The 25,884-nt window shown below is 48.5% G+C and overlaps 1 protein-coding gene across 1 annotated transcript in view, besides 3 other annotated features; it reads right to left on the reverse strand.

The window, feature by feature from the left end:
• GAS7 (growth arrest specific 7) overlaps positions 1–25,884 on the reverse strand; it is a 288,001-nt gene that overhangs the window by 207,882 nt on the left and 54,235 nt on the right. The gene's annotated exons all lie outside the window — the stretch shown is intronic.
• Positions 371–898: an enhancer, noted in NCBI's record as "H3K27ac-H3K4me1 hESC enhancer chr17:10022175-10022702 (GRCh37/hg19 assembly coordinates)". NCBI's record gives its function as "activates a minimal SCP1, AML or CMV promoter by ChIP-STARR-seq in naive H9 embryonic stem cells {active_cell/tissue: H9 hESC(naive)}" and the evidence as "EXISTENCE:reporter gene assay evidence [ECO:0000049][PMID:30033119]".
• Positions 1,073–2,031: an enhancer, noted in NCBI's record as "H3K4me1 hESC enhancer chr17:10022877-10023835 (GRCh37/hg19 assembly coordinates)". NCBI's record gives its function as "activates a minimal SCP1, AML or CMV promoter by ChIP-STARR-seq in primed H9 embryonic stem cells {active_cell/tissue: H9 hESC(primed)}" and the evidence as "EXISTENCE:reporter gene assay evidence [ECO:0000049][PMID:30033119]".
• Positions 8,763–9,480: an enhancer, noted in NCBI's record as "H3K27ac-H3K4me1 hESC enhancer chr17:10030567-10031284 (GRCh37/hg19 assembly coordinates)". NCBI's record gives its function as "activates a minimal SCP1, AML or CMV promoter by ChIP-STARR-seq in naive H9 embryonic stem cells {active_cell/tissue: H9 hESC(naive)}" and the evidence as "EXISTENCE:reporter gene assay evidence [ECO:0000049][PMID:30033119]".

Consider the following 25,884-nt stretch of genomic DNA (forward strand, 5'->3'; position numbering starts at 1 on the left):
ATCCCTTGAGGTCCGGAGTTTGAGGCCAGCCTGGCCAACACGGTAAAACCCCGTCTCTACTAAAAATACAAAAATTAGCCAGGTGTGATGGAGGTAGTCCCAGCTACCCTGGGGGCTGAGGCAGGAGAATCATTTGAACCCAGGAGGCGGAGGTTACAGTGAGCTGAGATTGCGCCATTGCACTCCAGCCTGGGGGACAGAGTGAGACTCTGTCTCCAAAAAAAAAAAAAAAAAAAAAAGCCCTTGTGTATCTCTGGGCTGTCTTAACTTATCAGGGGGGTGGTCCTACCCCCGGGGCCCAGTTAACCATGAGGACCAAGCAGGCCCAGCGCAGGTGGCCAGCCTGTGCAGCACCTCCCAGAGGAGGCAAGTGTTCCCCTCCCACTGGACACCAGCACAACGTACACATGCCACATGGTGACATGCACTGTAAGAGGATTCTTACATCTGTCCCCAGGGACAGATGGCACTGCTGAGTGCCTTCCGGGCACTTTCAGCCATTCATTCATTTGACAAATACTTATGGAGCATATACCATGCACCAGGCGCTGTTTCTAAGTATCTGGGGGCACATCAATGAAAAAAGCAGAAGGGAAATAAACCCTTGCTTTCCTGGAGTGACGGCTCCAGCATGAGGTGGGAATGGGTTGCGGGGAGCAGACACTAAACACAATAAAAAAGTGAATTCTAAAGAATGTCAGAAGGTGATCGGGGGAATAGAACATGGTAAAGGGAATCAGGAGTTCAGGGTAGACTGGAGTGTGGGTGGCAATTTTAGAGAGTTCAAGATGTTACCCTTGCTAAAGATCTTTCTAGCTCTTCTGCTCACTGTATTGATTTATTCCTTCATTAAGTAGTTACTGAGTGCTCACCGTGGGCCTGGCCCAGGCCCTCAGTGCTCTCATGAAGCTGACATTTTATTTAAGGAGACAGAGGTTAAGACAACTAATTATAGAAAGGTTAGAAAAGAGCATGTCTCAGGGGATTCCTACGACCATGCCAATCATGACGAAACATGCTAAACAAGCTGGGGGATGCTCCCAAGAGTGTCCTTGATTCTTGTTTAAGGTCCAAGGCCCACTTCTCTCCTCCTTCCTCTCCCAACACACCACACCCTGAGTTAGTTAGAACTGCTGTCTTCTCATCTACAGGAAATCACAACTCAGTGGTTTCTCTAGAAGCTGCCCACTGTCCTTAGAACTTGCCTGGTGCCACCCCAAAGCACCTGCTGGTGTTAGGCCTCCTCAGCTAACTTGACATTCCATGCTTCAGACCCAGCATATCTTCTTTAGAAGCACCAAGTTCAACGAGTGGGTCCTTCAGGCTGTCTTCTCCTGGCAGTGCTGATCCAAGCACCTGCTGGGCGAGTTTGGTTCCTTTTGCCTGACTATTCTCACGCCCAGAGCCAGGCAGCCTGGGGACAGAGGAAGAGCAGAAGAGGATGTCACACCCAGGCACACCAGGAGGCCAAACCTGTTTGGCAGCTCAAGCCTCTGACCACAAGCTGGCACTCGCTTTCGGAAGTGCTAACCACAGGCAGGACTGCTAGTGAGCAGAGCACCAAGGGTTTTCCTGCTGGGAAGAAATGCAAGGCTGGCCTTCATGCCTGTCCCCCTGCCCCCGCCCCGTGACAATCCCCCCCCAGCTCTGGACCCGCCCATCTCTTCCCACTCCATATCCAGCTGGAAGTGCTGGTCCAGGCCCCAGTAGAAGACACAGCTACCAACAGAAGGTACGGCCACCAGGAGCCAGGCCAGCCACCGGCCACCTCCCTCCATTCTTGCAGAAATGCTTCCGCTCTCATCTTCCTCAAAAGTTGGGAGGATTTGAGAGCAGCCAGAGTGTTAGCTGTGGAGGATGGGGGGCCACTGCCTTTCCTCCTGGTTCCTCTGCTGAGTCTCCCACAAATGGTTCCACGAGACCAGGACGGACTCAATCCTAAGAGTACGAGTAGAAGGTCTGTTCTCAAAAGCACAGTGAAGGGAGGCCAAGGCGGGTGGATCACCTGAGGTCAGGAGTTCGAGACCAGCCTGGCCAACATGGCGAAAACCCCGTCTCTACTAAAAATACCAAAACTAGCTGGGTGTGGTGGCAGGTGCCTGTAATCCCAGCTACTCGGGGTGCTGAGGCAGTAGAATCGCTTGAACCTGGGAGGCGGAGGTTGCAGTGAGCCAAGATCGCGTCATTGCACTCCAGCCTGGGGGACAAGAGTGAGACTTTGTCTCAAAAACAAAACAACAACAACAACAAAAAAGCACAGCGAAGATTCTCAGGAGGGCTGCTCAGGAGCCTGCACCCTCCAACAGCTTCCCACGTGGGCAGCCGGGGGAGAGGAAAGGGCAGGCTGCTAGGGGGAGGGAGGGTGGAGAACGGCAGCTACGGCAGCTGCCCCCACCCCTCCTCTCATCCTTTCTCACCATTTCCTTCCTTCACAACTGCCACATGAAAGCAAAGGCCCACTGGAACCCCAAGGTGGGCACGCAGATGAGTTTCGGATGGCAGGAGTGGCAGAGCTGCAGGAGCTGCAACGGTCCTCCATCTCCTCTCTACGGGCTGGGGTGCAGAAGATTGGAATGTATACAGCCGCCAGTGGTTAAGAGCTTGGGCTCTAGGCCAGGAACTGTGGCTCTCGCCTGTAATCCCAGCACTTTGCGAGGCCGAGGAGGGTGGATCACCTGAGGTCGGGAGTTTGAGACCAGCCTGGCCAACATGGTGAAACCCCGTCTCTACTAAAAATACAAAAATTAGCCGGACGTGGTGGCATGCACCTGTAGTCCCAGCGACTTGGGAGGCTGAGGCAGGAGAATCGCTTGAACCCGGGAGGCAGAGATTGCAGTGAGCCAAGACTGGGCCACTGCACTCCAGCCTGGGCAACAGAGCAAGACTCTGCCTCAAAAAACAAATAAAAAATTTAAAAATTTAAAAAAAGAACTTGGGCTCTGGAGAGAGATGGCCTGGTTCTGCTACTCACTGGCTGGGTGATGCTGGGGAAATTATTAAACTGCTCTGTGCCTCAGTTTCCCCATGTGTCAAACAGGCATAAGAATACTACTTACAGGTCTATTGTGAGGATTAAATGAGTGAATGAAGGTCCAGTGCTTAGGCCAGTGTCTGGAAAATCATATTATGTAAATGCTGTCTATTATTATTAAATGCTCCTGAATCGACAGATCTGTTTTTAAAAATTCTCTCCACCCACGAAACGATTTGTTCACCTGTGGGTTGAGGAGATAAGTAAAAGCATGGGGTATTGAAGATGCAACCTCAGACCACCAAGCATGCTTCCCTGTACCCCGTCAACCTCTCCCTTGGGCTTCCCCAGCCCCAAGCCTCCCAAAAAAGTCTCACAAGCTCAGAAGATGCCTGGGTGCCACCAGTACCCCAGCATGGAATGCACCCCCTCCCACAGTCATCTCAGAAACCACTGAGACCAGTTCTCATGGGGGACTTTGGAAGGTAGTGGGCCCAGGCTACCTGGAACCTCCAAAAACACGTGCCTCGCCTCCAACAAAGGCACTGAGGCACAATCCGAAGGCCAGCCATACAACTTCCACACTCAAACGGCACACACCAAGGCCCAAAATAGCATCAGCACCATCATCAACGAGATGTAAACAGAGGGAGGACACGACTCACTCCTCCTCGTACAGTGTGACCTGCATCTCCCGGGAGCACACTTTTATCTGTGCACACCGGTGGTACCCACCCAGGAGATGATGCTTCTGAAACTCCTAAGGCCCCAAAACCAGCCAGCCCCTGTGTTTTCATTCATCCTTCCCTCCCACTGAGGGGTTGCAAACAGAGCTCTGTCTTTAGCCAGCATCTTCTAGAAACCCTCATCCTTCCTCTCCCTCCCAGACACGTGCACACTGAGATCGAGACCCAGACAGCCTCCGTTCTAGGCACTTTCCCAGTCAGTTTATGTGATGGCCCTATTCAAATACTCAAAAACACACCCATTTTCTCAGAACAAAGCGAGAAAGGCCCCCTGGGACCCGACTCAACAACAACTCCCTAGCAGAAGGAGCCTCGCCCTCCCTGGCGCCCTCCCTCACCCTCCCTGGCTGACTGCTGGTTTGATTAACAGCCATGAAGAGGGGGGTTGAAAGCCTACCCCCACTTGTGGTGAAAAGCCCCAGCTTTCAATCACAACTCCTCCATATGGCAAGTTATTTACCTCCACGGAGCCTTGGTTTTTTACCCATAAACCCAAAACACTACCTCAGACAGTTGTACAATTAACTGAAATATCTAGAACAGTGCAAGCTGAAGATCTTTTTTTTAAGGCTGGCTGGGAGACCCCATGTTTAAACATAAAATAAATAAAATGAAGTTTTTATATATTTTTATTTATTGATTTTGAGACAGAGTCTCACTTTGTCACCCAGGTTGGAGTGCAGTGGCGTGATCATGGCTCATTGTAGCCTCAACCTCCTGGGCTCTGAGCAATCCTCCCACCTCAGCCTCCTAAGTAGCTGGGACTACAGGTGCACACCACCACGCCTGGCTGATTTTTTTAGATTTTGAGGTGACGGGGTCTCACCATGTTGCTCAGGCTGGTCTCAAACTCCTGGGCTCAAGCAATCGGCCTGCCTTGGCCTACCCAAAGTGCTGGGATTCCAGGCATGAGCCACTGCATCCGGCCTTCAGGTGGGGCATGTGCTCTCCAGGTTGTGGTGGGCCTCAAGACTCACTGGAGTCACCTGTCAGACTCTGGAAAGCATTGTTTGTCATCCTACTTAGAGCTGTGGTCCAGAGCATGTTAAAACACAGACAGCTGGGCTCCACTGCCGGGTTCTGAGCCAGCAGGTCTGGGGCAGGACCTGGGAATATGCAGCTCCATCCAACAAGTTCCCAAGAGATGCTGGTTCTGTTGCTGCTGGTCCAGGGACCACACTTTAAGAAGCCCTACCCTAGAATCTGAAGGCTGGAAAGTACATTAAAGGTCACCCAGAATGGTTCCAAGAGGAGCCAGAATGTACCCATGCCTCTTGCCTGGTCCAGTCCTGCTGTTGATCTGACTCTCAGCTCTTCCATCTTGAGCCTCAGACACAGGCAGGGCTAAGGGTGAAAGCCCCAAAACTCTGATCATCACTCAAACAATCTGTGGCCCCTACTGGTCCTGTTTATCATCTCTCAGCACTTTTGGGGTCCCCAGGCTGTTGCCTCCAACCTCCAGCCACCAGCCCTCACCTAGAGCTTGCTCCCCCAACAAACGTGGGCTCCATTCTGCCCGTCCAGGAATAGACACCAGTGGCTGGAGGAATCAAGGCAGGGAGGTTGGAGTCCAAGGCCCACAGGTAAGAGGAGGGGCGCAGCAGAGCCCTGGAACAGCTGATTTGAGACAAGCCCCTCCATCTTGAGCAGAGCCTGGAGACAGTGGTTTTCCTGGAGGGGGGCCCCGGACAGACACACACTGTACCCAGTGTCCGGGCCACACAATGCACAAGAGGCCAGTGGGGCAGGCAGCCAGGGCCCACTCATGCCAGTACCATCTGGGAGCCCTTGCCAGGCCTCGCAGGGCTGGCTGAAGAAGCTGGACTCTGTCCTGGGGCACAGTCGTGCTCTATTCTTATCTCAAGGGGGAATGTGTGACTCTCCTTCCCGTGAATGGGGGCCCCTGAGGAGGCGGAGTGGGAAACAGAGCCGCCACTGTGCCTGGGCGGGCTCCCCGCGCGGCTCCCAGCTCCAACCAGCCCCTCGTGGCGGGGCCTTGCACTCAACAAGAAAAGGCCAAGCTGAAGGTGGACATGGAAATGACAGTCCAGAGCCCAGTGCAAACTGCCCCTCCCTCACTCTGCAAGACTTGAGCCCGTGAGGCCTGACCAGAAACACACACTCACTCCCTGGAGAGACCCAATGGGACGGGCTCCTAAAGGAAAGCGCAGCCTCCACACAACACAGTTCCTTACTAAATCTCGAAGGAAGGAACCCAGACATCCTAGGCACCCCACACATGCGCACAAATCCCCACTGGCAGATCGGGGCTCTGGCCTGCCTAGCTCCCACAGCACACCATTTGCAGGTGGCTACAGATCTCATGATTTGCTGGCTCTCTTTCGGCCTGCAAATGCCAGGCTTAGCCAGCGAATGGGGCACTGGATATTCTCAAGGACTTGGTACAACCTTTCTAAAGAGCAGTGTGGGGCCGGGCACAGTGGCTCACGCCTGTAATCCCAGCAGTTTGGGGGGGAGCTGAGGCATGTGGATCACCTAAGGTCGGAGTTGGAGACCAGCCTGGCCAACATGGTGAAACCCTGTCTCTACTAAAAATACAAAAATTAGCTGAGCATGGTGGTGCGCACCTGTAATCCCAGCTACTCAGGAGGCTGAGGCAAGAGAATCGCTTGAACCCGGGAGGTGGAGGTTGCAGTGAGCCGAGTTCGCGCTACTGCACTTCAGCCTGGGTGACAGAGTGAGAATCCTCAAAAAAATTCAATAAATAAATAAAAATAAAGAGCAGTATGACACCATGGGTCAAAATGTGCACTTGAGTGGTCCACATTTCCTGGAAATTACTCTCCGTGCAAAAAGATATCATCACAAGGAATGGTTATCTTCAGTAATTTTTAATAGCAGTAAAAAAAAAAAAAGGGGGGGTGTGGAAGAACCTCAGTGTCCATCATAAGGGGATTGCAAATTAATAGTTTATCCAAATTGTGACTAACAAACACTAAAACAAACCTGTAAATATATTTAATGATAGAAATATATTCTGAGAATATTAAATTTAAAAAAAATAGGTCAAGGCTGGGCGCAGTGGCTCATGCCTATGATCCCAGCACTTTGGGAGGCCAAGGCAGATGGCTTACTGGAGGTCAGGAGTTCAAGATCAGCCTGGCCAACATGGTGAAACCCCATCTCTACTAAAAACACAAAATTAGCTGGGTGTGATGGTGTGCACCTGTAATCCCAGCTACTCGGGAGGCTGAGGCAGGAGAATCGCTTGAACATGGGAGGCAGATGTTGCTGTGAGCCAAGATGGTGCCATTGCACTCTTGCACTCCAGCCTGGGTGACAAGAGCGAAACTCCATCTTAAAAAAAAAAAGAAAAAAAAAAAAGGTCAAACAACTGTGTGTATAATATGATCATAAAAGGATAAAATGGGGATTGTTCTTTCTTTCCCAGTTGGATGAAAGAGGGGAGTAAAGGGTGATGGGGAGATGAGGAGGGAGGAGGGCAGGGTGGTGTAGAGAATGAGGCCCGGGTGTGAGGGGGTCAGCTGTGGGTGGGAGCCACTGGCCACTGGGGGAATTAGACTAAGTCTTGTTTAGCCTTCCTCTGGAAGGGCCTTAAAGGATGATGAAAACATCCGGAAAATATTTAGCTAGTAAATCTTTCAGAAGCCCCTCCACCCTGTGTTATTTATATAAACACTTCCCTTCCACTCCTCTCTACCCTCACATACACCCGCCCCGATTCCTATCACAGACTTGGAATCAGCAGAGCCAGAGAGAGCTGGACAAGGCTGGCTCCATGTGCGTTCTGACCACCACGGGTGCAACCCATCTGTGCAGTATGAAGCCTGCGCTGATGTGTTCCCTGGCCCCCATCGCAGAGCAGCCCTCTGACCTGCCAGGGACCCACAGCAGGGGTCGGGGGTGGTGGCCACACTATTTGGGTTCCCTGGCCACCAAATCTCCAGCAGTGATTGTCCCAGGGACTCAAGGAAGGGGAAGGGTTAAATGGGGGAGTCGCTTCTCAGACAGGAGAAAGTATTTGCTCTAATCCTGTCCGTTCTCCTGGAACTTCCTGGAGTTCTCAGGGAAGAAACCCTTAATGAATGGTGTGAGGGAAAGAGAAATCACATGCACATGAATGTGTGCATGCCACACACACACGCTCACACACACACTCATACACTCACACACACTCTTGCACACACACCCACACACTCACGCACATGCACACACAAACGTGCAAACACGCACACACAAACACGCAGATGCACACACGCGCGCGCGCACACGCACTCATGCACACACGCACACTCACACCCACTCACATACACACAAACACGTATCACACACGCACACACAAGCACACACACAAAGAGCGCACACACGCAGACATGCACACACTCTCGAAAACACACACATTCACACACACACGCTCACACACATGCAGACACACTCACACACTCGCGCACACACATATTCTCTCTCTCAAGATCTTCCTCCTGCTCCTGAGAAGTGCCCAGAATTCGGGGAAGCCACTCACTTGTTAAACAACAGCCTTCTTTTGAGGGTTAGGAGCCAGTCCCAGCGTGGGGCACGGGGAAGAGACTATGCTCCGGAACCAAGCCGGCTCTGACTCTAGTCCCAGTGAGAGCACAGCAGACAGTGAACCAGTTCTGGCTTCAAACCCCAGCTCTGCCGCTTAAGCTGTGTGACCTTTTTTAACCTCTTTGGGTCTCTGTTTCTTCCCCTAGAGAGTCCTGGTATCCTTGAAGGGAGATTGCATCAGAGGCTGGGAGTCTAGAAACCTGGGTGTGAGTGCAGGCTGTTTACTGGCCTGAAGGTTGGAGCCAGCCTGCTGGTAGGTGCTGGCCAGCACCTTACATTGTTTGTTGTTGTTGTTAGTTTAAATCAATTGGCAACATTACACAATTGGGAGAGTGTGGATTTCCAGCTGGCCATGTGTTCCCAATGACTGGCTGATGCTCCCTGCATTTTGAACCCTAAATCAAGTTAGTTTAACCTTCCACGGCTCTGGACAGTGAGTTAACAGGAAGCCCTGGGAAGAAGAAAGCAGTGCTTCCACGAGCCCCTCCTCAGATGCAGCCTCAGCTTGCGTCAGGGGAACGCCTGGTTTCCAGGGGCCCCATGTTGCCCTCTCACTTTTGCACAGCCTGCTGTGTAAAGATGAACCAAACATGGCCCAGGAAGTGAGTGTGCCAGCTGGGGATGAGCAGGTCAGGAGGCGGGGAGTATTGCACACCGAGTCCACGGCCTGGAGGAGACCTGGGCTCAAGTTCCTGTGGGGAACGCTCCATTTTTCTTTGCCCCAGCACCTCATCAAACAGTCCCACCCAGCAGCCCTGAAAGTATTTTAGCTGTGCACTCACAGAGGGACAGACTCAGGGCCGCAGGACACAATCCTCATTCAAGAATTTTAATTTTAAAGATACTAATCTGAACCAGGAAAACACCAGATCTTGCGCAGAAAATCCCCCGATTCCAGGGCTCTGATGGAAAGCAGGGGCAGAAGGCCCCCTCCAAGGTGTGAACCGACCCCAGTCTCTGTCCCCCTAAACCCCCAAGACTGGGCAAGCTCCAACCAGGCGAAGTGGACTAGGAGAGGAATCTCTGAGTAAATCGAGTAAATCCTGGAATCCCAAGCATCTCCTTGGAAATGCTGATTAAACACCAGAACCCACGCAAAGATCTGAGCAAATTCCAGGACCACCACTCGGGCCACATAAGCTCTCAACGGAGCACACACACACACTGAGTCAGACCCCTAAACATCTGGGGCTTAGCTAATCCTCTGCTCTCAGGCGTTCAGCTTGGATGGACTCCGAGGGGAGGCAGCACCGGCGAGGGATTCAGTCCAGTTTCCAGGGAGCCCAGCCAGGCCTGGGAGCCAGGGCTCGGCCCTACCCCGGCTGGGGCCCCCGAGTCACACACGGAGGCCATGCGTACATCCTCCCCAGCCCTCACCAGCAGTTCCGGGGCGGCTCCAGTGCCCAACCCACACATGGGAGGTGGAGGCCACAGTGCTCCAGGATTCCACTCTGCGGTGCAGACTTCGAGAGGAAACAATTTCCTAATCCCCTTCCTAAATCAAGGCCAAGAAACAACTTGTGGAGAGTCCACAGACGACTGTTCCCTCTGCCTGGTTGTCCCTGTGCTGACCTCTGGCTGCTCCCAGGAGCCATTAGAGGGAGTGGACGGGAGGGGTGGATGGGAGACCCACAAACCCACAGCCCGGGATTCCATACTTGATACAATCAGTTCTGAGTATCAATCCACAGATCATTGAATTCCAAAGCTAGCTGAGGCCAAATGCCTCCCCCTCTCACCCCCTTAACTAGGCCAGAACATAAAACCCAGCATTTCATTACTTACATTTATGCAACAACATCCCTTGCCTGTTTTCATTTTCAGTGAAATAAGTGATCGTTTTGCTTTTTCTTTTCTCTTTTTTTTTTTTTTTTGAGATAGAGTCACCCACGCTGGAGTGCAGCGGCGTGATCTCGGCTCACTGCAAGCTCCGCCTCCCGGGTTCACACCATTCTCCTGCCTCAGCCTCCCGAGTAGCTGGGATTACAGGCGCCCACCACCGCGCCCAGCTAATTTTTTGTATTTGTAGTAGACATGGGTTTTCACCGTGTTAGCCAGGATGGTCTCGATCTCCTGACCTCCCTCGTGATCTGCCCACCTCGGCCTCCCAAAGTGCTGGGATTACAGGCGTGAGTCACTGCACCCGGCCTGCTTTTTCTTTTTTCAAATTCCAAACCAAATGATCTTTTAACCTAAATAATCCTGATTGATTTGGTATCTCCCTGTGGGTCAGCAGACATATATGAGAAGACATTTTTTCACCCTTTGACTTAAATAAATAACATAGGTAAGAGGAGCCTTGATAGCAAAAACGCCAAGACCACTCAATGGGGGAAAGGGCCATCTTTTCAACAAACTGCTGCGATGAGAGATACAAACATACAAAAGAATGAAGCTGGACTCCTTGCTCACACGGCATACAATTAACTCAAAATGGATCAAAAGACTAAATGTAAGAGCTAAAACTAGAACACTCTTGGCCAGGCACCATGGCTTATGCCTGTAATCCCAGCAACGATGGGAGGCTGAGGTAGGTGCATCACTTGAGCTCAGGAGTTTGAGACCAGCCTGGGCAACGCAGGAAGACACTATCTCTATGAAAGGTTTAAAAATTAGCTGGGCAGGGTGGCACATGCCTGTAGTCCCAGCTACTTGGGAGGCTGAGGTGGGAGGATTGTTTGAGACCGGAAGGTCAAGGCTGCAGTGAGCTATGATCACACCACTGCATTACAGCCTGAGTGACAGTGAGACCCCATCTCAAAAACAAAACAAAAAAACTCTTCAAAAAAATAGGTGTAAATCTTCATGACCTTCTTAGACTAGGTGATGCCTTCATAGATATGACACCAAAAGCACAAGGAATCAAAGGAAAAAATCGGTAAACTGGTCTTTATTGAAATTACTAACTTTTGTGTTCCAAAGGACATCATTAAGAAAGTGAAAAGACAAACCACAGAATGGGAGAAAAATTTTGCAAACCACGTATCTGATAAGGGACTTTTATCTAGAATATATAAAGAACACTTACAGCCCAATAATTAAAAGACATTGATAATGTAACTCAATTACAAAATGGGCAAAAGCTCTAAATAGACCTTTCTCCAAAGAAGATACATGAGGCAGGGCATGGTGGCTCACGCCTGTAATCCCAGCACTTTGGGAGGCCAAGGCAGGTGGATCGCGAGGTCAGGAGTTCAAGACCAGCCTGGCCAATATGGTGAAACCACGTCTCTACTAAAAATACAATTAGCCAGGTGTGGTGGCGCGCGCCTGTAATCCCAGCTACTTGGGAGGCTGAGGCAGGAGAATCTCTTGGACCCGGGAGGTGGAGGTTGCAGTGAGCCAAGATCGTGCTGCTGCACTCCAGCCTGGATGACAGAGCAAGACTCAGCCTCAAAAAAAAAAACAAAAAAAAACAAAAAACAACAACAAAAAAACATGAATGGTCAATAAGGCACAAGAAAAGATGGCCAGCCAACACCAGTAGTCTTCAGGGAAATGCAAATTAAAACCACAGTGAGATACCACTTCACACCCACTAGAACAGCTATGATTTAAAAAAAAAAAAAAAAAAACGTAGATAATTACCAATGTTGGCAAGGATATGGAGGCATTGGAACCCTCATACGATCCTGGTGGTACAGCAGCCTTGGAAAACAGCCTGGCCATTCCTCAAAAGGTTAAACATACTTACCACGTGACCCAGCAATTCCACCCCTGGATATACATCCAAGAAAATTAAAAACACATGTCCACCCAAAAACATGTACACAAACGTTCATACCAGGATTCCTCCTAAAGAGCCAAAAAGTAGAAACCAACCAAATGATGCCCACCAACTGATGAGCAAATAAACAAAACGTGATCTATCCAAACCAATGAACCATTATTCAGAAATAAAAAGAAATGAAGTCCTAATACATGCTACAAGGAGAAAGAGCCTCAAAAACATTCTGCTAAGTGAAACAAGCCAGACACAAAAGGCTGCATATTATATTGTTCTATTTATAAGCAATCCCCAGAATAGGCAAATCTATACAGATGGAAATAGATAAGTGGCCGCCTAAGGAAGGCGTGGTTGGGGGGAACGGGAAGTGACTGCTAATGGGAATGGCATTGCTTTTTGAGGTGCTGGAAATGTTCTAAAATTGATGATGGTAATGATTGCACAACTCCATGAATGTACTAAAAACCGATTTATACACTTTACAGGGGTGAATTGAATGGTATGCAAATTATATCTCCATAAAGCCGTTATCAAAACATAAAAGGTATCTTGCTGAGTTTGCTATTACTTCCACACCCAAGCCAAGGCCACGACTACTTTCTGAAACTCCTCCCTGACCCCTCCAGGTTACCCAGAACTTTTCTTCCTCCCCAGCGTGCCTCTTGCCACAGCTATATCTAGACCTCGAAGAGCAGCGCTTACTTGGTCTCTGTTTACCTATGATTACTGAGTTTTACTTTCCCACCTAAACTTTAAGTTTCTGAACACAGCGGGGCCTGATAATTACAGCCAACATTGCTTGGGTTAGCAATCAGAACTTCAAAGTCTCATGTATTCCTGGGCAGGGTGTGGTGGCTCACGCCTGTAATCCCAGCACTTTGGGAGGCCAAGGCAGGCAGATCACTTAAAGTCAGGAGTTTGAGACCAGCCTGGCCAACATGGCAAAACCCTGTCTCTACCAAAAATACAAAAATTAGCCAGGCGTGTGGCACATGCCTGTAATCCCAGCTACTTGGGAGGCTGAGGCACAAGAATCGCTTGAACCCGGGAGGCGGAGGTTGCAGTGAGCCAAGATCACACCACTGCACTCCAGCCTGGACAACAGAGCGAGACTCTGTCTCAAAAGAACAAAAGAAAACAAAACAAAGTCTCATGTATTCCTGTATTCCTGCATGTATGAATACATGTACTCATGAACATATAACATGTACTCAGTGAATACATGTACTCATGAATGTATGAATACATGTGCTCATGAATGTATATACTCATGAATGTATGAAAACATGTACTCATGAATACATAAATAGACGGGCTCGAGAATGAATACATGTGCTCATGAGTGTATTAAAACATGACATGAATGTATAAAAATGTGCTCATGAATGCATGAAAACATGTAGTCATAAATGTATAAAAATGTACTGACTGCATGAAAAGGTACTCATGAATGAATACATGTGCTCATGAGTGTATTAAAACATGAACGTATAAAAACATGTTAATGCATGAAAACGTACTCATGAACATATGAATACATGTACTGACAAATGTATAAAAACATGTACTCAATACATGTACTCGTGAAGGTATGAAAATGTACTCAATGATTGCATGAGTACTGCATGAAAATGTACGCATGAATGTATGAATACATGTACTCGTGAACGTATGGATACGTGCTCACGTACTCACAATTCTTTCACTTACCCCTTTTGTTTCCTAAACATCTGGTGCCCATAACTAAATACTTCTTATTCAGATTTACCTGATCTTTGCTCAGGTGATGATAGCTGGCACCTTCTCCCCTGAAGAATGCCTCTTCCTTTTAAACCTGGTCTAACTTGCTGATCTTCAACCTCACCCCACCACCCTACGTGCACACCCATCATCTCAGTCTTTGTCTACTCGGGCCTGACTCCGTCTCCATGTGGTATCACATTTAAAGAAACATCACTCAAGCATCATTCAAAAATTATTTTTGGCCAGGCACGGTGGCTCATGCCCATAATCCCAGCACTTTGGGAGGCCGAGGTGGGTGGATCACTTGAGGCCAGGAGTTTGAGACTGGCCTGGCCAACAGGGCGAAACCCCGTCTCTACTAAAAATACAAAAAAATTATCCGGGTATGGTGGTGCGCGCCTGTAGTCCTAGCTGCTTGGGAGGCTGAGGCACGAGAGTCGCTTGAACCCAGGAGGCGGAGGGTGCAGTGAGCCAAGATTGTACCAGTCTGGGCGACAGAGTAAGACCCTGTCTCAACTAAAAAAAAAAATCATTTTTAAAGCAATTTAATCTTTAAAGTCTCTTTTAAAAAGGCTGGGGGAGGGGCTTCATTCATAACATGTAGCAACATTTAAAATTTCATCCCCTTCTTTCAAACTGACTCACAGGCTTAGCAGCTGCACCTCCGACCTCCACCCCAACATCCCTTTCCTTCTTTTCACCGAAAGACTTTAAATTCCTCCCAAGCCCCTCTGACTTGGTCTTTCTCCCCTGCAGGCATCCTTCTCTGAAAGACACACAGACCAACAGACAGACCAACTCTCTCACATATACCCCTCCCTTCAAAATCAGTCCTGTCTACTTTTTTCAAATTTTATAATTAGATTATATATTTTTATATTTTTTTTTTTTCTTTTTTGAGATGGAGTCTCGCTCTGTCGCCCAGGTTGAGATCGTGCAGTGGCACTCAGCTCACTGCAACCTCCACCTCCTGGGTTCAAGTGATTCTCCTATCTCAGTCTCCCAAGTAGCCAGGATTATAGGCAGGTGCCACTACACCCAGCTAAACTTTGTATTTTTGGTAGAGACAGGGTTTCACCATGTTGGCCAGGCTGGTCTTGAACTCCTGGCCTCAAGTGATCTGCCTGCCTCGGCCTCCCAAAGTGCTGGGATTACAGGTGTGAGCCACTGCGCCTCGCCAGATTTTATTTTAATTAACAAATTAAAATTGTATATATTTATGGTGTACAACATATATTTATGGTGTACATACACTGTGGAGTGGCTCAACTGAGCTCATTAATCTACGCATTACTCCACATACTTATTTGTGGTGAGAACAATTAAAATCCACTCTTTTAGCAATTTTTAAAATATAATACGCTATTATTAACTATAGTCACCATTTCCTGAACTTAATCCTCCTAACTAAATTTTGTGTTCTTTGACCAGCATATTCCCCACCCGCAACCCATAGCCCCACCCCACCCAGCCCCTGGTGATCACCATTCTACTCTTTGCTTCTATGAGTTCAACTTTTTTAGAGTCCACATATAAATGAGATCACATGGTATTTATCTTTCTGTGGCCTGGCTTATTTCACTTTGCATAATGTCCTCTGGGTTGATCCATGTTGTCACAAATGATAGGATTTTCTCTTTTTTTAAGGTGGAATAGTTTGCCATTGTGTATATATACAGGTTGGGCATTCCATACCCAAAAATCCAAAACCAAAATGCTCCAATGACCATTTTCTTTGAGCATCATGACAGCACTGATTTGGGATGCCTGACCTGTACCACATTTTCTTTTTTCTTTTTTTTTTGAGATGGGAGTCTCGCTCTATCGCCCAGGCTGGAGTCCAGTGGCGCGATCTCCGCTCACTGCAAGCTCTGCCTCCCGGGTTCATGCCATTCTCCTGCTTCAGCCTCCCGAGTAGCTGGGACTACAGGCACCATCCACCACGCCTAGCTATTTTTCTTGTATTTTTAGTAGAGACGGGGTTTCACCATGTTGGCCAGGATGGTCTCGATCTCCTGACCTCATGATCCGCCCGCCTCGGCCTCCCAAAGTGCTGGGATTACAGGTGTGAGCCACATTTTCTTTATCCACTCATTCATTGGTGGATTCCCTCTCTGGGCTATTGTGAACAGGACTCAATGAACACAGGAGGGCAGACGCCTCTTCCATATAGATTTTATTTCCTTCGGATATATACCCAGTAGTGGGATCCCTGGATAGTATGGTAATTCTATTTTTAATTTTTTGTGGAACCTCCATCCTGTTTTCCGTAATAGCTGAACTGATTTATATTCCCCACCAACACTGTGCAAAGATCCCTTTTGCTCTACAAGGACTGGCCCTTTCTCTTATCCTGAAATTGATCTAGGACAGGTGAGCCCCAAAGTGGGGCCTACCCCATAAGGGTTCTTGGCTTCCCCCAGGAAAGAATTCAAGGGCAATCCATGTGGTAGGATGGAAGAAAACAACTCTATTGAAGCCACAGGGTTATAGCCCTGTGACTATAGCCCTGTGACCGCCGCTGCAGAGCAGGGCTACCCCCTGGGCAGACAGTAGAAGCTCGGGGCAGTTCTGCACTCATATTTACATCCACTTTTTTTTTTTTTTTAAGACAGTCTCTCGCCCTATCGCCAGGCTGGAGTGCAGTGGTACAATCTCGGCTCACTGTCACCTCCGGCTCCCAAGTTCAAGTGATTCTCCTGCCTCAGCCTCCCAAGTAGCTGGGACTACAGGTGCGTGCCACCACGCCCGGGTAATTCTTGTATTTTTAGTAGAGACGGGGTTTCACCATGTTGGCCAGGATGGTCTTGATGTCTTGACTTTGTGATCTACCTGCCTCGGCCTCCCAAAGTGCTAGGATTACAGGTGTGAGCCAACGCAGCCCGGCCTACATCCTCTTTTAATTACATGTAGATTAAAGGGCAGTTTACACAGAAATTTCTAGGAAAAAGGTGGTAATTCTGGGGTCCTCAGTCAGTGCCATGGAAAGAGGCAGTAATCCCCAGGTGTTGCCATGGCAATGGTAAAATGACCTGGCGCAGTGGTGGGTGTGTGTTTTGGAAAGCTGCTTCCACCCTGCCTCTGTTTTAGCTAGTCTTCAATTTGGCTGGGTGTCCAAGGCCCACCTCCAGAGTCAAGTCCCACCTTCTGCTTCAAAACCAGCTTTTCAGACCTCTGCAATGTTGTCCCTCTGTCCATTGCTCAGACTGGCTCTTCACCAGAAAGTCCAGGGACTGAGCCCGCCCGAGAGATTTCTCTTCGATTAAGGGGGTGAGCAGCTATAAATGCCCCCATCACGCTCTGCTGGTTTATATCTGTTTAAGTTCCTGATCTCGTCTTTTAATGTTGTTTTTAATGTGTGGTTTCCCATCTCCACGTGGTGGGAATAAGCCAGCAGAGAGGGCACAATGCCTTCTTTTTCTTTCCTATCCACCCACAGCTCTGGTACCACCTCTGAGCTCCATGTCCAATAAGCTTATGAGACCCACTGCAGACATCCACAGACCTCCGAACTGGGGGGAGGGGGGTACCCACCAGCAAAGGAGGATGTTTTCAATGCTCAGGCCTGGATGCCTATGCTCTGAGAAGGAAATAAATTGTCAGCAGAAGATCAACAGAGAACTCAACTTAGCAGAAAACAGTAGGGGAAGACTTGAGGCTGTAATATTAGGGAGAGATGAAGACGAGACTTTTTGGAGTTCAGATGTGGGGAGACAGTTTAAAGAACAAGAGCATGACTTAGCGAGTTGGCCCCACTGAGCAGGGGGGTGGTTCAGCTCGGAACAACACCAAGGACCGTCTGAAGGGACCAGACACTCCGAATAAAAACAAATGCCTCCCAAATGTTGTCTCCGTCTTCTATTAATTAATCACAATGTCCCCATGGCGAAGTGTCCTATGACTAATGCAAACTGTAACTGTGTGGCATGAGGCCAACTTGCTCATCTTCCTTTCTGAACAAGCCTCCCCAGATCCACGGGGGAGGCTGGGTGAGTGGGGAGCCACTTCCTCTGGGTATCAGATCAAACCATGAAATCTGTTTCTGGGTTGGGCCTCAGAAAAGAATTTCTCCTGGGGACATCCAAACCCTTTAGTTATTTTTGACACTTAGTCCAGCCAGAGGTTTGGAGAGTTGCTGGGGCTAAGCTCGGGGTTTCTCCCAACTCCGCATCAACGGTGCTGTGGAAAAGGCAAGCCAGATTTTCCAGACTGGGGAAGGCAGCGCGGCTGATGCATTTTCTTCTCACAGGAAAAGCCAACTAGCTGTCCCAAAGATGAGATCTTCAATGCACTGCAAATCCAGACAGCACCTCCTGCAAAAAGGGACTCAAATCCTCCACATGACACCATCTCCACTGTTATCATCCCAGACTGAGTGACCCCTCGCATCTGTCCGTCTGCCTCAATTTAAAACCAGCTTCAACCTATTCTGCATGGGGCAGCCAGCGTGATCCTGCAAGACACGAAGACTGATTGTGTCGCCTACAGCTCACCAGCCTCCAAAGGCTTCCCTTCACGCTTAGAAAAAAACAGTGGGAGGGACACAAATTCCTCCATTATCTGACCCTCTTTGACCTCTTAGACCTCAAATCTGGCCAGGCATCGTGGCTCACGCCTGTAAAAATCCCAGCTCTCTGGGAGGCTGAGGCAGGAGGATCACCTGAGTCTAGAAGTTCAAGACCAGCATGGGAAAGATGGCGAAACCCCGTCTCTACAAAAAATTAGTCAGACATGGTGGCGCACACCTGTAGTCCCAGCTACCCAGGAGGCTGAGGTGGGAGAATCACTTGATTCCAGGAGGCAGAGGTTGCACTGAGCTGAGATCACGCCACTGCACTACAGCCTGGGCAACCGAGCGAGACCCAGCTTAAAAAGAAAAAAAGAGAGAGAGAGAGACCGCAAATACTCTCCCTCTCCTACCTGCTCACCCAACTCGAGCTTCGTGGGCATCACCGCCATTCCTCAGGGTCTTTGCACTTGCTGTTTCCTCTGCCTGGAACCTTCTTCCCCAGATTTCCATATGGCTCATTCCCTCTCCATTAAGTTCTCTGCTCCAATGTCACCTCAGAGAGGTCTTTTCTGACTACCCCATTTAAAGTAAACTTCCCCACAACCTGCCCCCCTCACCCTCACCCCTCTCCCCCACTTTATTTATCTTCATAGTATATATAGCTTAGCTGACATGTATATGAGTGTTTGTTTCTTAGAATGTAAGCTGCACAGTGCAGGGAATTTGCCTACTTTGTAACTGCTGTATTCCCTGTGTCTAGAACAATTCCTAGCACAGTGAAGTTTTCTCTTTTTTTTTTTTTTGAGACAGAGTTTCACTCTTGTTGCCCAAGCTGGAGTACAATGGCAGGATCTTGGCTCACTGCAGCTTCTGCCTCTTGGGTTCAAGCAATTCTCCTGCCTCAGCCTCCTAAGTAGCTGGGATTACAGGTGCATGCCACCACACCAAGCTAATTTTTTGTATTTTTAGTAGAGACGGGGTTTTGCCATGTTGGTCAGGCTGGTCTCGAACTCCTGGCCTCAGGTCATCTGCCCACCCTGGCCTCCCAAAGTGCTGGGATTACAAGCGTGAGCTACCGCGCCAGACCACATTGAAGTTTCTTAATAAATATTTGTTGGAAGAAGGGAGGGAGGGAAAGGAAAGAGTTTTTGGTTGACCAAGGTACAGTAAATAAGATCAGGTCCCTTCATTTTATACTTTTTTCAAGGTTTTTTTTTTCTTTTTTTGAGACGGAGTCTTGCTTCTGTTGCCCAGGCTGGAATGCAGTGGCACAATCTTGGCTCACTGCAAGCTCCATCTCCCGGGTTCATGCCATTCTCCTGCCTCAGCCTCCCGAGTAGCTGGGACTACAGGCGCCCACCACAGCGCCCAGCTAATTTTTTTTTGTATTTTTAGTAGAGACCGGGTTTCACCATGTTAGCCAGGATGGTCTCGATCTCCTAAACTCGTGATCCGCCCGCCTCGGCCTCCCAAAGTGCTGGGATTACAGGCGTGAGCCACCACATCCGGCCAAAGTTCTTTTACAGATGTGAAGGCACTTAAATAAATGTAAAGGAAGGACTTCTTAACTCATGATTATCCTTCCAACTCCCTAGTAAGGAAGGGAGGACATGCATAACTATCGCCATTTTACAGAAAAGGAAATATGAATGTGGGATATTTGTTAAAGGGAATAATAAAACATACTGGCTTGTCCAGGTCAAATTTGAAATTAAAAAACCAAACTAGAGGCTGGACGCAGTGGCTCACGCCTGTATTACCAGCACTTTGGGAAGCCGAGGTGGGCAGATCATGGGGTCAGGAGTTTGAGACCAGCCTGACCAACATGGTGAAACCCCGTCTCTACTAAAAAGTACAAAAAAAATTAGCCAGGCATGGTGGTGCACACCTGTAATCCCAGCTACTCAGGAGGCTGAGGCAGGAGAATCGCTTGAACCCGGGAGGTGGAGGTTGCAGTAAGCCGAGATCGTGCCACTGCACTCCAGCCTGGGCGACACAGAGAGACTCCGTCTCAAAAAAAAACAAAAACAAAACAAAACAAAAAAAACAAACCTAGAACTAGAATCGAGGTTTCCAGGTACTCTGTCCTATGCTCTTTCCATCAAGTCACCTTGGATTTCAATATTCTATCCTGCTAGAAAGTCTATTCATATTGTTAATCATATTAATATTTCAAAAATGAAAAAAATATATGATCATCTTGAGAGATGCTGACAAGACATCATTTGATAAAATCCCACATCTATTTGTGCCTTTAAAAATACCTCTTCTTGGTATTAGCGCCAGCCTAGTTTTATATTCTCCAGGAAGACACTGAAAAACAGACACAAAAAGGACATTAAAATGCTAAATAGAAAATATAAATGCTATCTAAAACCAACAGCCAGTATCGGAGTTATGAGGAAACTCCAGAGGAATTCCCACTAAAGACAGGAACACAGCTATTTATTAGCAACATTCTGGAACCATGTATCATCTATAACCAATTTTAAAACATAACTAAATTTCACTCACAATAACAAGAAGAAATTATCAACATCCTAAGAATAAACCTAACACAAGGAACATACAAGCCCTACGTGAAGAAACCATTTGTCCAGGGGACAGAGTCTAACTTAATTATGTAGAGATATTATGTTCCTGGTTAGTATCAAGAACTGTGAAAGGTCTGAGATTTCTTATCCCAGGTCCAGGAGCAAAGTGAGATACTCAACATTCTTAATTCCATTTAATCTAATTAATAACTCTGCAATTTGTATTATTATTCCCCACTAATGAAGAGGCACAGATCAGATAATTTCACACAGCAAGGAAGTCAGGATTACAATTTAAATAGTTCTGACTCCCAAGCCTACTGTCTTCCTACCAGCTCACTCAATCTTCTAGCAATGTGATGGCTTTCTACTGTGTCAACATGGCTAGGCTGAACTTCAGTTCCCAGAATTCCTTTCCTTATACATTCTGCTTAGCGTAGACCACAGGAAGATTTCTGGGAGATATGGTGCGGGAAAGGGAAGAAGCAGAGATTCTGCAGCTCAAACACATTGTTGCTGATCTGCTGACTTGCCTCACTGGCATAAAGCAGTGGCTAGGCCCACAACTGCTCCACCCTCTCCTGGAGCTTTTGTCAGCTTATCCAACCCCTGAGCCAGGATACATTGGTTAGGTCCATGACACAGGGCCCCAGATTCTGCAGGATACCCACACTATCAAAGTCAAAGACAATTTTATTCCATCCTTGTGGGGTTCCAGCTCATGCCCACAGGTTCTAGCCTGCTCATGATCTTCTCTTCTTAACTTCACCTTTCCCGTAGACTTCAAGCTCCAGCATCAGACATTGAAATGACAGCCCAACAGAGACTACTTAGCCAGCCCCACAATGACATAAGACTAATATTCTGTAAAAACTCTCTTTTAAAATGCAGGGGCTGGACATGGTGGCTCACATCTGCAATCCCAGCACTTTAGGAGGTCAAGGCGGGAGGACTGCGTGTGCCTAGGAGATCAAGAGCAGCTTGTGCAACATATGGAAACCCTATCTCTACAAACAATTTAAAAATTCGCCAGGCATGGTGGGGCATGCCTGTGGTTTCAGCTACCTGGGAGGCTACGGTGGGAACATCATTTGAGTCCGGGGGTTGAGGCTGCAGTGAGCCGTGACTGCCACTGCACTCCAGCCTGGGTGACAGGGCGAGACCCTGTCTCAAAAATAAGTCAATAAATAAAAATGTGTATATCTGCATTTGTGTGTGTGTACCTGTGTGTCTATGTCTATGTGTGTATATACATGTGTGTCTGTGGCTATATGCACGTATGTCTATATAGCTAGTGTATGTGTCTACAACTGCATGTGTGTTTATGTACATGAATATGCCTACATCTACGTTTCTGTCTGTTTCTCCTACTCATTCTGCTTCTCCATGCAAACCCTGACTGACACAGCTAATTGCTCCTCACTGTAAGTCCACAGAATAGGTGGTCATGGAGTGGGAGTGTCCCTAGAGAAGCTGGAGATGGAATGCTGAAGGCTGGGGTAGTGGAAAGCCGTGGAGACTCAGTCTGCTACTCTGCCCCTCTAGGCTAACAGATTAAAACAAAAAGAGTCACTTGTATGTGCACAACACTGCAGATACAAATGCTAAAGATGCAGGGTCCCACACTGGCCACTATGCCTCAATGGCTCCCCCAAGCAGGGAGTGGGACACAGAGGGGTCTCCATCAATACTGCCAGCTTCTGGACTGGCCCCACCCTGGTGTGCACCCAGCTATGCCCCTCTGACAGCCACAGAAAGGCTGCTTCTGGGGACCCAGGGAAGTGGCTCCAGGGCCCTGGCCCTGACTCACTTCTGGAATTTCCTGCCTTGGGAAGCTGCTCACAGGTCACATCAAGGGGATATTAAAGCCACTGCTTAGGGGCCGGGCGCGGTGGCTCACGCCTGTAATCCCAGCACTTTGAGAGGCCGAGGCAGGAGGGTCACGAGGTCAGGAGATTGAGACCATCCTGGCTAACACAGTGAAACCCGTCTCTACTAAAAATACAAAAATTTAGCCTAGCGTGGTGGCGGGAGCCTGTAGTCCCAGCTACTCGGGAGGCTGAGGCAGGAGAATGGTGTGAACCCGGGAGACGGAGCTTGCAGTGAGGCAAGATCGCACCGGTGCACTCCAGCCTGGGCAACAGCAAGACTGTGCCAAAAAAAAAAAGGCCACTGCTTGAATGAGTGCCTGAGCACCCCTGAAGAGACACACCCAGATTCCCAGGGTAGATCCAAGTCCCACTAAGACCTGCAGCTCTCAGTTACTCCCTCCACAGAGCCCGGCTCCAAAGAGGGAGGAGACGCAGTTTCCTAAAATGTGCAGGCCCAACAAGGCAGCATCAAGGCCAAAGCTCTGGAATCACAGACTCCAGGGCACATTCCAGCTCTGCCAGATACTAACATAAATGGCCTTGGGCAAGTTCTGGTACCTCTCTACACCTTGAATTCCCCACCTTTAAAATGTGTATGATAGATACCATACAATGCAACACTGTGGAAAGGGTTAAACTTTTACATTTTCTTTAAAAATAAAGTATAATAAATGTTATTTTTGTTAAGATTAACACTTTTCAGAATAACTCTGTCAAGCTCATGGTGATGAGTCAGTAGGCACTGCCTAAAAAGTTGAGGATGGCATATATTAAAAAGTTACATAGTAGGCCGGGCGCAATGGCTCACGCCTGTAATCCCAGCACTTTGGGGGGCCGAGGTGGGCGGATCACGAGGTCAGGAGATCAAGACCATCCTGGCTAACATGGTGAAACCCCGTCTCTACTAAAAACACAAAAAATTAGCCGGGCGTGGTGGCAGGTGCCTGTAGTCCCAGCTGAGGCAGGAGAATGGCGTGAACCCGGGAGGCGGAGCTTGCAGTGAGCCGAAATAGGGCCACTGCAGTCCGGCCTGGGCGACACAGCGAGACTCTGTCTCAAAAAAAAAAAACAAAAAAAGGTACATAGTAGTTACAAAGATAACTACCAGAACTAAAAGCAGATTGTAAATCTTTCAAATTATTGGAAGAAATGTACACACAAAGTCAATAAAACTGATCATATAGTAAATAACATATTATTAAAGGTTTTGTTTGTTTGTTTGTTTTTTGAGACAGAGTCTCACTCTGTTGACCAGGCTGGAGTGCAGTGGCACGATCTTGGCTCACTGTAACCTCTGCCTCCCAGGTTCAAGTGATTCTCTGGCCTCAGCCTCCCGAGTAGCTGGGACTACAGGAGCGCACCACCACTACCAGCTAATTTTCGTATTTTTAGTAGAGACGGGGTTTCACCATGTTCGCCAGGACCTCAGGTGATCAGCCCGCCTCGGCCTCCCCAAGTCCTGGGATTACAGGCATGAGCCACCGTGCCTGGCCTATTAAAGGTTTAAAAACAGAAAACATAACATAAAATGACAGAACTAAAACCAATCATAACTCTTACAGAAAAAGATTCTGAGGTATCCCCAATATATTTCAAACTTAGATAATTTTTTAATTGGTTGCAACCTTGATCCACCCAAACAGTTCTATATGAGGATGCAGGCTGAACTCACGGGGGTTCAGACATCAGTAACAGGGAGTGTGTCATGAACTTGAACTGTGTCCTCCCAATCCAAAAAACAAAAAATCTAGCCTGTAATCCCCGCACTTTGGGAGGCCAAGGTGGCCGGATCACCTGAGGTCAGGAGTTCGAGACCAGCCTGGCCAACATGGCGAAACCCCATCTCTACTAAAAATACAAAAAAAAAAAAAAAATTAGCCAGGCATAATGGTGGGTGCCTGTAATCCCAGCTACCTGGGAGGCTGAGGCGGGAGAATCGCTTGAACCCGGGACTCGGAGGTTTCAGTGAGCTGAGATTGTGCCGCTACATTCCAGCCTGGGCGACAGAGACAGACTCCGTCTCAGAAAAGACAAAAAAAATCTGTATGTTGAAGTCTTAACCCCTAGTAACTCTAGATGTGACTATAATTGGAGATAGGCGGCCAAGCGTGGTGGTTCACACCTGCAATCCCAGCACTTTGGGAGGCAGAGGTGGGTGGATCACCTGAGGTCAGGAGTTCAAGACCAGCCTGGCCAACATGGTGAAACCCCATCTCTACTAAAAATACAAAAAATTAGCTGGGTATGTTGTGTGTCCCCTATAATCCCAGCTACTCAGAAGGCTGAGGCAGGACAATCAGTTGAACCCAGGAGGCAGAGGTTGCAGTGAGCCGAGATCATGCCATTGCACTACAGCCTGGGCAACGAGAGAAAAATTCCGTCTCAAAAAAAAAAAAAAAAAATTGGACATAAAGGTAATTAGGTTAAAATGGGGTCATGAGAGTGGTCCTAATCCAACATGCCTGGTGTCCTTATAAGAAGAGGAAATTAGGATACAGGATACAGACAGGTACAGAGGGAGGACCACGTGAGGACACATGGAGAAAACAAGCCAAGAAGAGCGACCTCAGAAGAAACTAACCTGTTGACATTTATGGTCTCAGACTTGTAGTCTCTAGAATTGCAAGAAAACAGATTCTGTTGTTTAAGCCCCACAATCCATGGTACTTTGTTAAGGTGGCCCTAGCAAACTCACACGTGTCTGTCAGGTTGCATGGGCAAGGAGGGTGTCACAGTTAGTGCCAAGCATGTGAGTGTGCTGGAAAATGGAAGTGACAAGGAGGGGGCTTAAGGTAGGCCCATCCCCACCCATTCCCCACCTAGCCCAGAGCCTCAAAGCTGTTGGCAGGAAGAGCTAAGAATACTCAGAGCTCTGCCAGGCAGTGGGCTCCATATTCCAGCAGCTTGGAGCAGGGAACGGGGGACTCGGAGCGGCAGAAAAGCAAGGCCTGCTGGCAAGATGTGATTGCAGGAGACTCTAGTAACTCAAGGACTGTGGGGTACAGAGAAGGCTAGTGACTGTTTCCCCTTTGGGGTCCTGTTCAAAGCTGGGGACTTTGCAGCTGTGCCCACCTGCTAGTTTTACTCTCCCTAAAACAGAGCCAGGTATGTGTTCTGACCATGGCTGCCGAAAGACGCCCAGGAGGACAGGTGAGCCTCTGCTTCTCATAGGCAGTGTCGGGCCCGTGATATTATCCCAAAGTGAAGGGGAAC

Source organism: Homo sapiens, chromosome 17 (genome assembly GCF_000001405.40).
Source record: "Homo sapiens chromosome 17, GRCh38.p14 Primary Assembly".
NCBI classification, from domain to species: domain Eukaryota; kingdom Metazoa; phylum Chordata; class Mammalia; order Primates; family Hominidae; genus Homo; species Homo sapiens.